The sequence below is a fragment of the Homo sapiens genome, chromosome 7 (genome assembly GCF_000001405.40).
Source record: "Homo sapiens chromosome 7, GRCh38.p14 Primary Assembly".
Lineage (NCBI taxonomy): Eukaryota > Metazoa > Chordata > Mammalia > Primates > Hominidae > Homo > Homo sapiens.
Window position 1 is genome coordinate 21,913,498 of NC_000007.14, and position 17,277 is coordinate 21,930,774.

Genomic DNA, 17,277 nt, shown 5'->3' on the forward strand with positions numbered 1-17,277 from the left:
AGCCAGGGCTTGATTATTAAGGAAGAATGGTACACAGCTGCTGCTAAGGAAACCCACCATGCACCTGAGGCCTCTCAGTGCAAGAAACATCTGGCTCACAGAGCCTTGGGCCAGCCCCTGCAGGCTAATTTAGAGTGGTATTTCTGTGTGCAAATTTCATCAACTACCTAAAGCCCCTGCCTAGGGCCTGAAGGGAACAGGGCAAGCCTTGAAGCTATGAGTTCCCATCTTCCAGTTTTTCTGGCTATTTTGATCCTGTGTGCTGGCCTCCCAGGGCAATGGGCATCTTGGGAGAGATTACCATCTTTGATGGTCAGTCCTGATAGAGAAAAACAACTTACCATTGTCCTGAACTGAGGCCTGTGCTTTAGTTTCCTTACTCCAAAGTGTGTAAGTACTGTTTTCCATGTGGGTCTGTATGATGCCAATCTCCACTCCACACTGCTCCACTGCATTCTGAGTTAGAAACCCTGGCACTGCTGATTGCTCTCTGGCACTGGTTCATTCATCTTCAAAATCAATACTGGGTGCTATGCTATAGGCCTTGGTCATCTACCATGATCAGGACCATAAGCAAATAACACATCAGAGGAGAAGCTAACATAGGTGGATAAACTTATTTTGAAGTCCATGTGACATGGAAGAAACAGACCAGAGAGCAATGGCCTGTTGAACCAGACAGCCAGACAAGCACCCCATTTCAACTGCACCCAGCAAACAACACCCCCCGTGCTCACTGTATACAGTCAGGTGGGGTGTTGGATGCTTGAAATCAGAGGAAAGGAACAATACATGAGGACGAAAAGTCAGAGCCAGGGAAGCTAGAAAGCACCATTCAAGTATGAGGTCTCCCCTTCTTAAGGAGTTTATAATCTAACAGGGAGGCAGACAGGTCCACGAATAACCCTGGTGAGGGTCAGTGCTCTAAGGGATACAAAGCAATATGGCACACGGAGGGAAAGAAAATCCAGTAAGACTTCATGGAAGAAGTAGCATAACTGGATGTGAGCCACGGTAGAGGCTAGAAAAATGGTGAGAGCACAGATAGGCAGGAACAGCATGGACCAGTGGGCAGAAAGGGCAGAACAGTGGATAATGAGAGTGTCAGTTCAGTTCCTGTGCCCTGCAGCATAGCAGGTAGGAAAGAGACCCGGCGGGGTAAGAGGCTGAGAAGTGGTGGCCCTGGATTTGGAACATCCCAGCTTGGTACTTCCCAGATGTGGGGCCTTGGGCAAGTCATTACACCTTCCTGAACGTCAGTTTCATCACTTGCAAAACTGCAGCTTCCCAGGGAGGTCTGTGGATTAAATGCAGTATCTGTATGAAAAGCAGTTGGCACACTGTCCTCCCTGGGGAGAACACACCTGACTACAAAAGGAGTCATCATAGCAGCAGAAGCAGCTGTTCTGTTTCTTAATGCCCGGTGCCTGCCAGGCTCTGTGCTCGGCCCTTTAGACATGTTCTGCCTTGCTCAAATGCTCCTCAAGGTGGATCCAACAGGCTCTGCTCTCCCCACCGCCTGACTGTGCTCAGATGGAGGGCTAAGGGAGGAGCTGACCGGAGGTCAATCCTATAACAGATCCTAGTAGGAAGGGATGAGCATTCGGGTAAGAGCTACGAGGGCTACGGCAGCTGCAGAGGGAAGGGAAGGATGGACACCAGGAACACAGCAGAAGTTTCATCAACTCCTGGACGGGAGTCAAGGAGATGGAAGAGGGGAGGGAAGGCCAAGAACAAAAGATGGAAATCAAGATGGGGAAAGGGGGAAGCCAGAAAGACAACCAAGGGAAGGAGAAGTGAGTTTCAGATCTCCCTTAGCAACCAGGACCAGTCCAACTGGTAGTCAGAAACCACCTGGGGCTGGAGAGAGAAGACAAGCTCCACAAAAGAATACAGTAACAGCTCAAAGCAGGACAACAGACAAGATTCACTAAGTGAGAAGACTGAAGACAAACCCTTAGAGAACATCTGCATTTAGGGACACGAACAGGGAAAACAAGTGACAGTAACAAAAAGCAGGCCAGGTACAGTGGCTCACGCCTCTAATTCCAGCACTTTCGGAGGCCAAGGCGGGCAGATCACCTGAGGTCGGGAGTTTGAGACCAGCCTGGCCAATATGGCAAAACCCCATCACTACTAAAAAAAAAAAAAAAAAAAAAAAACACACACACACACACAAATTAGCCAGGCGTGGTGGTGGGAGCCTGTAATCCCAGCTACTCGGGAGGCTGAGGCTGGGAAAATTGCTTGAACCCGGGAGGCAGAAGTTGCAGTGAGCCAAGATCATGCCACTGCACTCCAGCCTGGGTGACACAATGATACTCCATCTTGGAAAGAAAGAAAATAATAATAACAAAGAGCAAAAGGTGTAACAGAGAGGAAGAAACCCAGGTGGTTAGAAGGAGGTCTACTGGTGGGGTCAACTGCTGTGGAGATGCCAAATGAGATGAGGACGACAGAGACCAGGGAGCCTCCAGAGATCTCAGAAAGCACAGCTCCCACCAGGCCAGAACTTACAGTGGCCCACGTAATTAAGCAGGCACTTCACTTACATATAATTAACTGCTTCCCTTCCTGGACTTGCCCAGTGGAAGCAAAGTGGGTTTAATTTGCTGCCTTTTTGGAGAGGCCATGGTCAAGGCAGAATGAGGAATTTTGAGTGCCACAATTAACTCAGAAGAAAATGCCACTGAAGGGTAGAGATTTTGGCCATTCTACTACTAGGACACAATGTGAACCTCCAGGAATCTACCTGTCAGAGAACTCTAACTTGTGAGTGCTAGAGATCAAAGTAATTAACGCAAGAATAAGGCTCTCCCCAGCAATTCCAAGAGGACATGCCAACAGAATTGCACCACGGGACCACAGAGGTGTAATTGTCTCCCCGTAACCACACAATCCCTCATGCCTCGCCGCAGCCTCGCCTCTGTGGGAAGACCCTGAACACAGCCTCGCCACAGGTTACAGCCCCAAGGCAGCCAAGAAAATGCACTTGATCATGTGAGGTCCCTTTATTTAAAAAAAAAAAAAAAAAAAAAAAAGAATTATGGTACAGGGAAGGATTAACACAGCAAAGTGAACGAGGTTCTCTCACCAGTTTTTTAAAACAGGAAGACACAGACATAATGTTTCTAAAATAAAATGCTAGACAATGAACTGATATCACCAATCTCACACCATGTTCAAATAAAAGAACATCCAAACCAAGATTCAGGCCTCCAGATGAACACATCTGCTTGGAAGGAATCATCCATACCTGTTTCCCTGACTCTAGTGAGTCAAAACTATCGCAGCTCTCCTCTGACGAGAGGGTTTCCATGGGAACATCATCTCGGAAGCCAACAAACTCTTCATCATCACTGGGGGCGTTAAAGATGTCAGCCACTTCTTTAGGGATCTGTTTTGGATTCAAAAGAGGCAGGATTAAACCAGGGGTTCTTGCTAATCACTTAGGGACATTTTCTGGAGGGGAGGAGAGATCTCATCACTTCATCCAACTGCCACGGTTGCCCAGAAGTCCCCAGTAACCCTCAGCAAAACACTCTTCAGCTAAGAACTCATGGCAAAATAAGGTGTGGGGTGGGTGGGGGAGATAAAACTTAAAATTCTAGATATACACCCTATTTTACAGAGAATGTTAAAACCAGGCCAGAGAGAAGACATGTTTGATCTCTTGACAAAAAGAAAAATTGTTTCTAAGAACCAATGATCTCTTTTTTCTCCTACAGTGGATGCATCTTTAAATGTCATCTACATAAAAAAGATGCCATAAAATATCATTAAGCACTTTTCTTAATGTTCACCTACACTATTTATTTTTCTCTTCTTTGTCATAGGCTGATTCAGAAAGTAGAAAGTTCATACAATGAAATAAGTAGCTTTTCTTCTTTTCTATATTGTAAGTCAACTTAAGTAGCTGGGGATTAATTCTAACAGAATTCAAATGCTATTAGGGGATAATTGATCCCAGAGAGAACAATGTCAGCACACTTAATCCACAAATATGTATCTGCTGGAGTTCATTTTTGTAAGTTGACTATTTTCTCCCAATTCTTTGTTTTAAAAAAGTTCAAACACACAGAAATGTGAAAAAATAGTACAAACACCTGTTGATTCTTTATCTAGACCCATTATTGGTCACTGCATTTGCTTTCTTTCTCTGTTTCAACAAATATTAGGTTGAACCATGGGCATTTGCTGATATTTGGCTGTTTTTAACTTAGGAAAATAGCAATTTAATATGAGCCAACCTAATCCATATATTCCCACACATTGATTAAAGTAATTTGCAAACATTGTATTGATTGGCCCGAATATAATTCAGCACATATCTCCCACGGATAAGGACATTCTCCCATAGAACCACAAAACCATAATTGTACCGAAAATAATTAACATTAATTCAATAGTACGATTTACTGTAACTCTATATTTTAATATCTGCAACTGTTCTATTTGATTTTTATGACACTGTTTTTTGTTGTTTTTCACAACACTGACTTTCTTTTTAGATAGACCATGACAACTGCCTTGTAGAATGTCATGTATTCTGAGCTTATCTGAGTGTTTCCTCATGATTAGATTCAGGTTATGTATTTTTGTCACCATTCTACATAGGTGACATGTACTCCTCAATGCATTGCATAAGGGGGCACAAAATGTCAAGTTATCCCACTATTAATTAGTAATTTTTAAAAAATTTTTCATTATAAAAACTTTCAAAGATATTTCAAAAGTAGATGGGAAGATATTGTAATGAGCACACATTGATCCTCCCCGTAATTATCTGCCCAAGGCTAACTGTGCTTCCCCTGGATCCCGACCCAACTCCCCTTCTTCTAAATTATTGTGAGGCAACTGTAGACATAGTATCATGTCACTCTGTATCATCATCAAATGTGCAGTCTGTATTCACAGTTCTTCTGCCTCATTTTTTAAAAACTTAGTTTATCTGCATCATGATCCAAATAAGGTTCACACTGATCAACATGGCTCTTAAATCCCTTCTCATCACTCCTTTATCTCTTTTCTCTTGCAGTTTATTTTTGAAGAAGCTGGGTCACTTGACTGTGGAGTCTGTCCAAGTCTGAAGTTTTATTTTTTTTGCATCCCCAAGGTGGTGTTTAACAGACTCATTTGGGTTTACAATTTGGGAGTTGAATCCGGAGGCTTTACTTCTAGTTGGCTTGCTTTTGCCAAGACTACTTTTTAGGAAGTGCTATGTTCTTCCTTTGGAAAGCACATAAGGTCTGGCTGTCTCTTTTTTTAGTGATGTTGCTGTTTGGTCAATAAGTTAAGGTGGAATCAGCCTGATTTGTTCTTCGCTTTTAAAACAAAACAAAACAAAAAACAATAACAACAACAAAAAACACCCTTTCTCCTTTGTCACTAATAAGGAATATGCAGAGTGAGACTTGAGATTCTGTGAATAGCCTCCCTGATAACATCTTGCTCAACAGTTTCAGCGTCCATTGACAATTCTTTTTTTTTATATTTTTTATTTTAATAAAGACAGGGTCTATGTTACCCAGGCTGGTCTCAAATTCCTTGCCTCAAGTGATCCTCTCACCTCAGCCTCCCAAAGTGCTGGGATTACAGGCATGAGCCAGGGCACCCTTGAATGAATTATTACATTAGGGACTGCAAAAGAGAAATTTTCAGATTTTCTCTCTCCTTCACAAAGTAGCTGGCATTCTTGTATAATATAGTCTTTCTCTCACTCTCCCCCTTTTCTTCTACCATGTATATCCATGGATTTCTAAAAATTATTATTAAATGTGTTATAATCCATACTCTCATAATGCTGACTGTCCCAAATTTGGCCATTGGGAGCTTCTTGGAAAGTCATCCTCTGTCTTTCTGACATGGCACTAAGGGTCTTTCAACACCTCCTTGCTTTCTGACACAAGCATGGCAAGCTAACCTTGTATGTTTCCTGTCCCAGACCTCAAATCAGCCATTTCTCCAAGGAGCCCTGAAACCTTTCACTGGGAAATGGCATTTAAAAACCAAGCTCGGAGAACACAATGCATCTCGGTTAATTAAGTATCACTGCTTGTAGGCTCTTTGGACAGAGCAAGGATATTTTAAATAGGTAAATCACAAGTTCATGGTGACACCCTGAATTCAAATCCAACACGGAGGCTTCTTCCTCTGCTCCCTCATCTCTCCCTCATCTCACATTAGCATCGCCGTTCCACCACAAGGAAAACCCTCGATTCCCAAAATTTTTAATATACTTATCCATGTGGTGCTCTATCTACAATAAACACAAAATAGCGCCAAACTGACGCCACCAATATACTACCAACAACAAACAGTGCAGTTCAAGATTTCTTTGCAGTTCTTTCTAGCCCTGGAACATAGTCTCACTATACACAGGATCTTTTCCTTCAGCTAACCAGATGATCATTGTACATGGTTATGCAAAAATGTTTCACATGTACTTCCCATTTCATCATGCAGTATATTAAAAAGATGTCCTTAACAGTTGAGACTTAATAATTTTTACTGTTTCATCAGAACATTCTTATGTGAAACTGACATTTTCTTTTTAAATTGAGTGCATGGAGGTGAATGCAATGACTACTAATACAGTTTGTTGCTACCACCTGGATTCATGCTAAAGATCAGCAGTTTTCTCCACTTTGGCTTTTGCACAATCAGTGCAAATATCAACACAGCAAAAAGGGCAAATAATCTTAGTATTATTATGACATTACATTCGCCCTCATGGACCCGTGAAAGGGTCTCAGGTCCTCCATCTCACACTTTGACCACTGCACTAGCATATACAGAGTTGTGTATTCAAAAGCTACTTAGCTTCGTGGAATTCTCTGTGTGGGTGTGTTGACTTAATTTTACATTTAGTCAGGTTCCATTTAGGAAACTGGTAATCCTTAATCTATTTACTTTCATCCTTATTTTAATGCTTCTTGATTAAAAATAATTAGAAAATAATGGTTCAATCAAAGGAAGTGTAACATAAATACAGAAATGGGATACCCCAAGTTCAGTGATGCTGAAGGGTTAATACAAACACTTTCCCACCATCTAATAAAATCACTGCAAGGGACAAACAAGAACAACACTTACAGAAGTAGAGTTCCACTAACAATTTTTTTACCAGCCACACGTAGTGCAGCACTAGCAAAGCCTAACTCTGACATCATTCTTGGGGAAAATATTGAAACTTTTCTCAAGGAGGTATGTTAAACAATGTTTGCCACCTTATCTTTTCAAAGACACCTTTTGTTGTTGTTTAGCACTCAGAACTAATACGCAAGGAAAACACCCAGACTAGAGAAACACAGACAATACTTATGAAAGTGTGCCTATGTTGTAGCTACATAATAGCCACTGAGTTCAGTCCCTGCAGAGGCACTAAGAGGGACAGTGTGTCAATTTCAGTCTTTTTCTTTTGGCCTTCTCACCATTCTACAAAATTCAAACAGCCCTGCTGGCCCAGAAGCTTCTTTTAACATAAATGGTTTAAAGGAGGAGGAGCACCCCATTTATGGATTTAATGGAAATACATACAAGGAATGGAGAGGGTTGGTGATAGGAATAAACTGCTTCCAGCAGCAACTGCATTAGTCCCTGTGCTATTGTGTTCAGCCCCACCACTGCTGCGAGCCTGTGTCTGACTAGCTAATTCCTCCTTCTGCATCTTTGACTTCTGCATCTGCTCCAGAGGTACCATTAGGGGGCTATAATTACTGATTAGGAACAAAAGGAAAGAGCACACTTTCAAAAAAACGGTGTGCATTCCTGGGGTACGCAGGGCTCTGATCCTTCAAAAGGTATTAAAAGAGTTTCAGATAGTCACAAGCTTCAAGATTTGCCAAAAAAAAAAAAAAAACTGTAAAATATTCAAGTGTCCTCAATGCAACGAACTGATTTGTCTAACAGATGCAACAAAGGCAGCAAGATTTATATGAGAAGGACCTGATAGAAAGGATACACAGGGACCTCTTCTAATGAATGACCAGTTCCACAACACAGTGATACATTAGGCCCAAGGATCTGTCACTTTCCTGTTCCATTCAGCAGCGATCCACTGGGTAGCTGCATAGTCTAGACAAAAATGCAAGACCTTTTTTTTTTTTTTTCAAAGTTTGTGTTCCATTCTATTACAATAAAGCCAATCATAAGACTCACCAAAAAGAAAACTACAACAAGTAACTGAAAACAACAAAAATACAAAATTTCTCAATCAATGGATATTTACATTAGTTGAACTTCTGAATTAGGATAACTACTATCTAGTGAACCAAAAAAAAAAGGGAAAATTCTCATCTGAAAGTGAAAAGACCGTTTCATTATTTATAATACTTGTTAAAAATCGACAACTTCATGCTATTCCTTTCATGTACAGTTTCTGTTTGTCTACTCTGTCTTTATTGGAATTAACAGTGTGAATATCATCAAAAGTCATATGGGGGACCAGGATTCAATTCTATGAGAACACAGGTACTAGAATGGAATCCACAGGCACCTAACATAGAGCCCAGCCTAAAGCAGATGATCAACAAACCCTTGCTGAAAGCATTTACATGCATCTGACTTTGTAGCCATTTTCTTAAGAAAGGTGTATTTTACTAGGAAAATACTAAGTCAAAAAGGTACACTCTGTGACATTCCTACATGAGGGGAATTAAAAATTTTCACCCAGAATCCTAAGACATCTTTCTACAAAGCAGTCATATTCACAGCTCCCCTTTCAGAAAGGACTGCAGGTTTCCCTTATAAGCCATACAGATTACCTGAGAGCTTTTCTCTGAAATACATTATGCCAACTCAACAGGCTTTGGGGCCAAGCAGGTGGGTAACAGGGCAGTAGGTCAGCTGTAGGACAATATGGGATGGTGCTGACTGGTAGGCTGAACACATATATCAGGGAAGGCAGGCCACTCCTCCACTCCAGCTGATCACTGCCCTGCAGGAACAGGGGTCTGGTGTGTCTGACCTCCAACATTCCCAGAGAACCTGAGAATCTGAGTGTTGGTAAGAAACTTCCCATCTACAGACTGGATCTCAAACTTGTTCAGGGAACATGCACGGTGGAACTCATAGGGCTCTGTGGGACACCAAGGAAACTGCAAATGCCAGAATTCCAAATATTACCAACAGTATTAATATATCTACTAGTGCCTAGTAGTAATAGTAGAGGGCATCAAAGTGTTAAGAAGATTAAGAAAAACTTTATATCCTTTCCCTTATTCATGGCATCATGATTCACAAGAGCCAAAAGGTGGAAGCAATCCAAGTATCCATCGATGGATAAATGGATAAACAAAATGTGAGACATACATATAATTGAATATTATTCAACACTAAAAAGGAAGGAAATTATGACACATGCCACAACATGGATGAACTTTGAAGACGTTATGCTAAATGATAATAACCCAGTCTCGATAAAACCAAGAACGGTATGATTCTACTTATAACAGGTACCTAGAGTGGTTGAATCCTCGGAGACAGCAGAATGGCACTTGCCAGATGCTGAGGGGAGGGAGAAACGTGGAGTTACTGTTTAATGGATACAGATTCAGCTTTCCAAGATGGAAAGAGTTTTGGAATTTAAATATGCTTAACACTACTGAACCATACATTTTAAAATGGCTAAGATAGGAGATTTTATGTTATATGTATCTTAGCACAATTTAAAAAGAATTCAACGAAAAAAGACAAGAAAGACAATTTAAGCCAGGCATGGTGGTTCATACCTGTAATCCCAGCACTCTGGGAGGCCGAGGCAGGAAGATCACTTGACCCCAGGGGTTTGAGACCAGCCTAGGCAACATGGTGAGACCCCGTCTCTACCAAAAAAGATACAAAAATCAGCTGGGTTGTGGTGGCGTGTGCCTGTAGTCCCAGCTACTCATGAAGCTAAAATGGGAGGATCGGTTGAGCCCATGAGTTAGAGGCTGCATGCAGTGAGCTATGATCATACCACTACACTACAGTCAGGGTGTCAGTGAGACCCTGTCTCTAAAAGAGAAAAAGAAAAAAAGAAAAACCGGGGTAGAGGGGAATTTTTCCTTCCTTAAGTGAATGAAATCTTCCAAACTGACAGAACAAGTCCAGACCTTAGCCTAGTTTTAATGGTACCATCACTTTAGGGGCATGTGGCTTAAGAACCCAACTCTCTCACCTAAGGGAGGTTCAGATACATCATTGTAGGTGCCAAGGCTTCAGCTTTAGTGTCTGACCAACCAGGTATCTGAGCCTGTAAGCCCATTAGTTAACTGATAGTCTGGAGGACAAAGCTGTTTGCAGAACCACACTTGGCTGAAATCCAGCTTTGTTCTATCCCAGCTAAGCTATACTAATAAAAATAAACCCTGCTGAGTTGCTGCTGGCTTCTCGTTGAGTAGGTGCCTTTCAGGCATACAAAGCAGTGCTCTGGAGGTCTCCATACCATTTTGACCTTTGTCAGCCTGAGTCTCCATTAAAATTCAATTTAAAAAACTAATAAGCTATAAAAAGATCATCAAACTGTCAGTTGGTATTCAATCAAGTATTTACCTTTGAAAATATTTTAACGTGAAGTATTGTTCATTTAAAACTTTATATTGTGAAATTAAGTATAATATTTTTTAAATTAAAGCTTTTCCATAACTCAATGATATCTAAATTCATCCTTCCTGGATTAAAAAATACAACCTCCTACCCAGAAGGAACACATTTATCAGTATTAGTTTTTGAAGAGAAAGAAAATAAGATTCACTTTTTAGGCCAACTGATACAAGGGCTGATTCTGATATACTCCAAGAATATTCAGTGTACATTTCACCTAGAAGCAAGCTCTATTTTAAGATTTAAAAAGCAGACAAAAGATATTTATGCACACTACTGCATTTTCCTTATTAAGTGTTTTGAAAGCAATTTTGATAGCAATGACAGCAGAATTTGCAAGGTGTACTATCTTGCATCTATGAAAAGAGATCTACACAGAGGAGAGCATTCCTTCCTCTTTAACACACCACGAAGGGCGAGAACTGTTATTTTCTTATGCAAAATCATTTCTTTGAATTTTTTACAAATAAATTTGTTGGCCCATAAGAAAAGTACATACCATGCACCAACCACAAGAACTAACTCAAAATGGATCACAAACTTGAATATAAAACTATAAAACTTTTAGAAGAGGAGAAAATCTTTGTGACCTTAAGTTAGGCAAAGAATTCTTAAGATACAACACCAGATACAACACAATACAGATCTTTAAAATGTGTAAAGTAAACAATCAAAATTAAGAACTTCTGCTCTTCAGAAAACACCGTTAAGAGAATGAAAAGGAAAGCCACACACTGGGAGAAAATATCTGCAAATGCTGTCTCTGATTTGCACCCAGAAAATATAAAGAATTCTCATAATTCAATAAAAAGAAAACAAATAAATCAGATGGTCGACGAGTTAAATGGTAAACAAGCACAAAAGAGAATTAAATTAACACACACATGCATCTGACCTCTGAATGGGGAGGACTTTCACCAATCACGTAAAGGAGACCAAAATGGAAAAGTAGATCACTGACCATGTAACAGTTTAAAGCTTGCTACTTAAAAGAAGAAAATTCAGAAACAAAAACAAACAAACAAACAAAAAAAGGTAGGGCAAAGATCTGACAAAAATATGACAAATTATTAAAATTGCTAAAAACCTCATACAAAATGAAATATATACCATGGCCACACAGACAAAATGGCAAAACAAAGAAAACTCACTAGGGAAAACAAAAGAGGCTAAAAACACTTTAAAAGTCCTCAGCCTACCTAGTAATGAAAAGAATGGCAAGTAAAACAAGTATTCTTTTCATCTAGCAATTTAGCAACATTTTGCTTCCATTTTTAAGGGCATGCTCAATGATGGGGAAGGTGTGAGGAGACAAACACTTCTATACAGAACTGGTATGAGGACACTGAACCCAAGGCTTCAGAAACTAAGTACCATCATATACATCTAAAATAGGGCAGTTAATTTTTAAAAAATTAAATACAGTGCAATTTCAAGACTGCCAGGAAAATGTAGCTAAACTCAGGGTGAAGGCGTATATGAATTACTATTAGCAGTTAAGAGAATCATAAAATCAAGGATTATCAGGCCAAGTGTGGTGGCTCATGCCTGCAATCCCAGTGCTGTGGGAGACCAAGGCAGGAGGATCACTTGAGCCTAGGAGTTCAAGACTAGCCTGGGCAATACAGCAAGACTCCAGCTCTACAAAACATAAAAAATTAGCCAGGCATAGTGGCATGTCTGTAGTCCCAGCTACTTGGGAGGCTGAGGAGGGAGGATTGATTGAGCCCAGGAGTTCAAGGCTGCTATTAGCTATGATCCTGCCACTGTAACAGAGGAAGACCCTATCTCAAACAATTAAAGAAGAAAAAAAAAGATCATCAGATTGTGATGGGATCTCATCCATCAGTTTGTGCTTCATATAATGGGAGTGACAGCCAGACACAGAGGCACACACCTGTAGTCCCAGCTACTTAGATGGCCTAGGCAGGATAGCTTAAGTCCAAGAGTTCAAGTTCAGCCTGGGCAACAAAGCAAGACCCTATCTCTATAAGAAATAAAAATAAAGTAAAATTAGGGCAACCACAGTTAGACTTACTCAAAGGCATGTAGCTTGTTAGTGTCCTTACATTAAAAACATTTCCAAGCATCTAAATAAGAAAACGATCTGTTTTTCTATAACTATATATTAATTAGTATTCAGCAGTTAATAAAAAAAATACAAACTCATGTTAACACCAACAGCACAAGCAACAATTCGAGGAAAATAATAAACTGGAATTCATCAAAATTAAAAACTGTTGTGCATCAAAGGACAGCAAGAAAGTGAAAAGAAAAATCTGCAGAATGGGAGAAATAGCTACAAATCATGTATCTAATAAGGATCTACTATCTAGAATATATAAAGATTTCTTACAACTCAAGAAAAAGGCAAACAACCAATCAAAAAATAGGTGAAGAATTTGAACAGACCTTTCTCCAAGGAAGCTATACAAATGACAAACAAGTACATAAAAATACACACATCAGTGGTCATTAAGGAACTGCAAACCAAAAATAGGTAATACTGGCTGGATACAGTGGCTCATGCCTGTAATCCAAGCATTTTGGAAGGCTGAGGCAGGAGGATCACTTAAGCTCAGTTCTAGACCAGCCTGGGCAATGTAGCAAGACCCCATCTCAAAAAAAAAAATGTTTTTTAATTACCTAGGCATGATGGCACATGCCTGTAGTCCCTGCTACTTGGGAGCCTGAGGCAAAAGGAGCTCTTAAGCCTGCGAGTTTGAGGCTGCAGTGAGCTGTGATCAAGGCACTGCATTTTAGCCTGGGTGACAGAGCAAGACCCTGGCTCACAACTAATAATAATAACAATAATAATAAAGACATTGAATAGAAGCCATGGGGAGTGGAAAAAAGCCACACACAGGTCCAGGCAAGACAGTATGTTCAGAAAAGATCTAAGATGATCTTCAGTTTTCAGGGTCAGAACATACCCAGCCAATCTTTTAAAGATTTCCCTAGCACAGAGTCAGTCTGCAAAGACTGGAAGAGGTGGCCACTTCTCGAATATTTAATTCTCAACAAAAGAACAAAGACATATAAAAAAGAAGAAAAACCTGGCCCATTCAAAGAAGCAAAATTAATTGACAGAAACTTTCCCAGAGGAAAACACTGGACTTACTAGACAGACACTGGACTTACTAGACAAAGAAAACTATCCTATGCTGAAAGAACAAAAAGCACAAAGAACTAACGTGAATCTGGAAAACGAGCAAAATGAGCCTATTAACAAAGAGAAATGAAGAAGGACTCCAACAGAAATTATGGAGCTGAAAAAAATAGAATGACCAAGTTGAAAATTTCACTAGAGTGGTTTAAAAACAGATTTGAGGAGGCAGGCAAATCAGCAAATCTGAAGATAATGCATTTGAAAATACTGAGTCAGAGGAGAAAAAAATTAGAGGAGAAAAAGTTAAAAAGAATACAGAAGAGTGAAAACAGCCTAAACTACTTCTTTAGGCACACCAATATAGGAATGATGGGAGACTCAGAAAGAAAACAGAGAGAAAAAGAGACAAAGATTATTTGATACGACAGTGGATGAAAACTCCCCAAACTGGCTGAAAGGCATGAATTGGAATACATCCCAGAAGCTCAAGGAATTCCAAGTAGGACAACTCGGAAGAGGTCCTTTCAAAGACACCATATAATCAAATATTAAAAGCCTAAAGACAATCTTGAAAGTAGTCACATACAAGTGACACTCAACAAGATTATCAGCTGTTCAGCCCCAGTCAGGGGTTTACAGATAAAACCCCCATCTCCCTGGGACAGAGCACCTGGGAAAGGCGTGGCTGTGGGCCCAGCTTAAGCAGACTTAAACGTCTCTGCCTGCCAGCTCTAAAGGAGCAGCAGATCTCCCAGCACAGCGTTCAAGCTCTGCTAAGGGACAGACTTGCCTTCTCAAGTGGGTCCCTGACTCCATGCCTCCTGACTGGGAGACACTTCCCAGCAGGGGTCAACAGACACCTCATACAGGAGCGATCCGGCTGGCATCTGGTGGTTGCCCCTCTGGGATGAAGCTTCCAGAGGAAGAAAACAGGCAGCAATCCTTTGCTGTTCTGCAACCTCGCAAACGGTCTGGAGCGGGCCTCCAGCAAACTAACTCCAGCAGACCTGCAGCAGAGGGGCCTGACTGTTAGAAGAAAAACTAACAAACAGAAAGGAATAGCATCAACATCAACAAAAAGGACTTCCACTCAGAATCCCCATCCGAAGGTCACCAACATCAAAGACCAAAGGTAGATAAATCCACGAAGATGAGGAAAAACCAGCACAAAAAGGCTGAAAATTCCAAAAACCAGAATGCCTCTTCTCCTCCAAAGGATCACAACTCCTTACCAGCAAGGGAACAAAACTGGATGGAGAATGAGTTTGATGAATTGACAGAAGTACGCTTCAGAAGGTGGGTAATAAACTCCTCCGAGCTAAAGAAGCATGTTCTAACTCAATACAAGGAAACTAAGAACCTTGAAAAAAGGTTAGAGGAATTGCTAACGAGAATAACCAGGTTAGAAAAGAACATAAATGACCTGATGGAGCTGAAAAACACAGCACGAAAACTTCATGAAGCATACACAAGTATCAATAGCCAAATCGATCAAGCAGAAGAAAGGATATCAGAGACTGAAGATCAACTTAATGAAATAAAGCATGAAGAGAAGATTAGAGAAAAAAAGAGTGAAAAAGGAACAAAAAAAGCCTCCAAGAAATATGGGACTATGTGAAAAGACCAAATCTACGTTTGACTGGTGTACCTCAAAGTGACGAGGAGAATGGAACCAAATTGGAAAACACTCTGCACGATATTATCCAGGAGAACTTCCCCAACCTAGCAAGACAGGCCAACATTCAAACTCAGAAAATACAAAGAATACCACAAAGATACTCCTCGAGAAGAGCAACCCCAAGACACATAATCATCAGATTCAGCAAGATTGAAATGAAGGAAAAAAGGTTAAGGGCAGCCAGAGAGAAAGGTCAGGTTAACCACAAAGGGAAGCCCATCAGACTAACAGCGGATCTCTAGGCAGAAACCCTACAAGCCAGAAGAGGGTGGGGTCAATATTCAACATTCTTAATGAAAAGAATTTTCAACCCAGAATTTCATATCCAGCCAAACTAAGCTTCATAAGTGAAAGAGAAATAAAATCCTTTACAGACAAGCAAATGCTGAGAGATTTTGTCACCACCAGGCCTGCCTTATAAGAGTTCCTGAAGGAAGCACTAAACATGGAAACGAAAAACTGGTATCAGCTACTGCAAAAACATACCAAATTATAAACACCACTGACACTATGAAGAAACTGCATCAACTAACAGGCAAAATAACCAGCTAGCATCATAATAACAGGATCAAATTCACACATAACAATATTAATCTTAAGTGTAAATGGGCTAAATGCCCCAATTAAAAGACACAGACCGGCAAATTGGATAAAGAGTCAAGACCCATCGGTGTGCTGTATTCAGGAGACCCATCTCACACCCAAAGACACACATAGGCTCAAAATAAAAGGATGGAGGAATATTATCCAGCAAATGGAAAGCAAAAAAAAAAAAAAAAAAAAAAAAAGCAGGGATTGCAATCCTAGTCTCTAATAAAACAGACTTTAAACCAATGAAGATCAAAACAGACAAAGAAGGGCATTACATAATGCTAAAGGGATCAATCCAACAAGAGCAGCTAACTACACTAAATATATATGCACCCAATACAGGAGCACCCAGATGCATAAAGCAAGTTCTTAGAGACCTACAAAGAGACTTAGACTCCCACACAATAATAGTGGGAGACTTTAACACGCCACTGTCACTATTAGATCAAAGAGACAGCAAATTAATAAGGATATTCAGGACTTGAACACAGCTCTGGACCAAGCAGACCTAATAGACATCTACAGAACTCTCCACCCCAAATCAACAGAATATACATTCTTCTCAGCACCACATCAGACTTATTCTAAAATTGACCACATAACTGGAAGTAAAACACTCCTCAGCAAATGCAAAAGAACGGAAATCATAACAAACAGTCTCTCAGACCAAGTGCAATCAAATTGGAACTCAGGATGAAGAAACTCACTCAAAACCGCACAACTACATTGAAACTGAACAACCTGCTCCTGAATGACTACAGGGTAACTAACGAAATCAAGACAGAAATAAATAAGTTCTTTGAAACCAATGAGAACAAAGACAACATACCAGAATCTCTGGGACACAGCTAAAGCAGTGTTGAGAGGGAAATTTATAGCACTAAATGCCCACAAGAGAAAGCAGGAAAGATCTAAAATTGACACCCTAGCATCACAATTAAAAGAACTAGAGAGTGGCCGGGTGCAGTGGCTCTCGCCTGTAATCCTAGCACTTTGGGAGGCCGAGGTGGGCAGATCACGAGGTCAGGAGTTCGAGACCAGCCTGGCCAAGATAGTGAAACCCTGTCTGTACTAAAAACACAAAAAAATTAGCTGGGCGTGGTGGCGGGTGCCTGTAATCCCAGCCACTTGGGAGGCTGAGGCAAAAAGAATCGCTTGAACCTGGGAGGCGGAGGTTGCAGTGAGCCAAGATTACGCCATTGCACTCCAGCCCCGGCAACAGTGCAAGACTCCGTCTCAAAAAAAAAAAAAAAAAAAAAAAAAAGAACTAGAGACGCAAGAGCCATCAAATTCAAAAGCTAGCAGAAGATAAGAA

The 17,277-nt window shown here is 40.6% G+C and overlaps 1 protein-coding gene across 3 annotated transcripts in view; it reads right to left on the reverse strand.

Annotated features, from left to right (window-relative positions):
* Nucleotides 1–17,277, reverse strand: part of CDCA7L (cell division cycle associated 7 like) — a 45,001-nt gene that overhangs the window by 12,599 nt on the left and 15,125 nt on the right. For all 3 annotated transcript variants that reach the window (NM_001127371.3, NM_018719.5, NM_001127370.3), the window contains one exon: nt 3,257–3,397. In NM_001127371.3, coding sequence (NP_001120843.1) covers nt 3,257–3,397 — 141 coding nt within the window. The remainder of the gene's footprint in view (nt 1–3,256; nt 3,398–17,277) is intronic.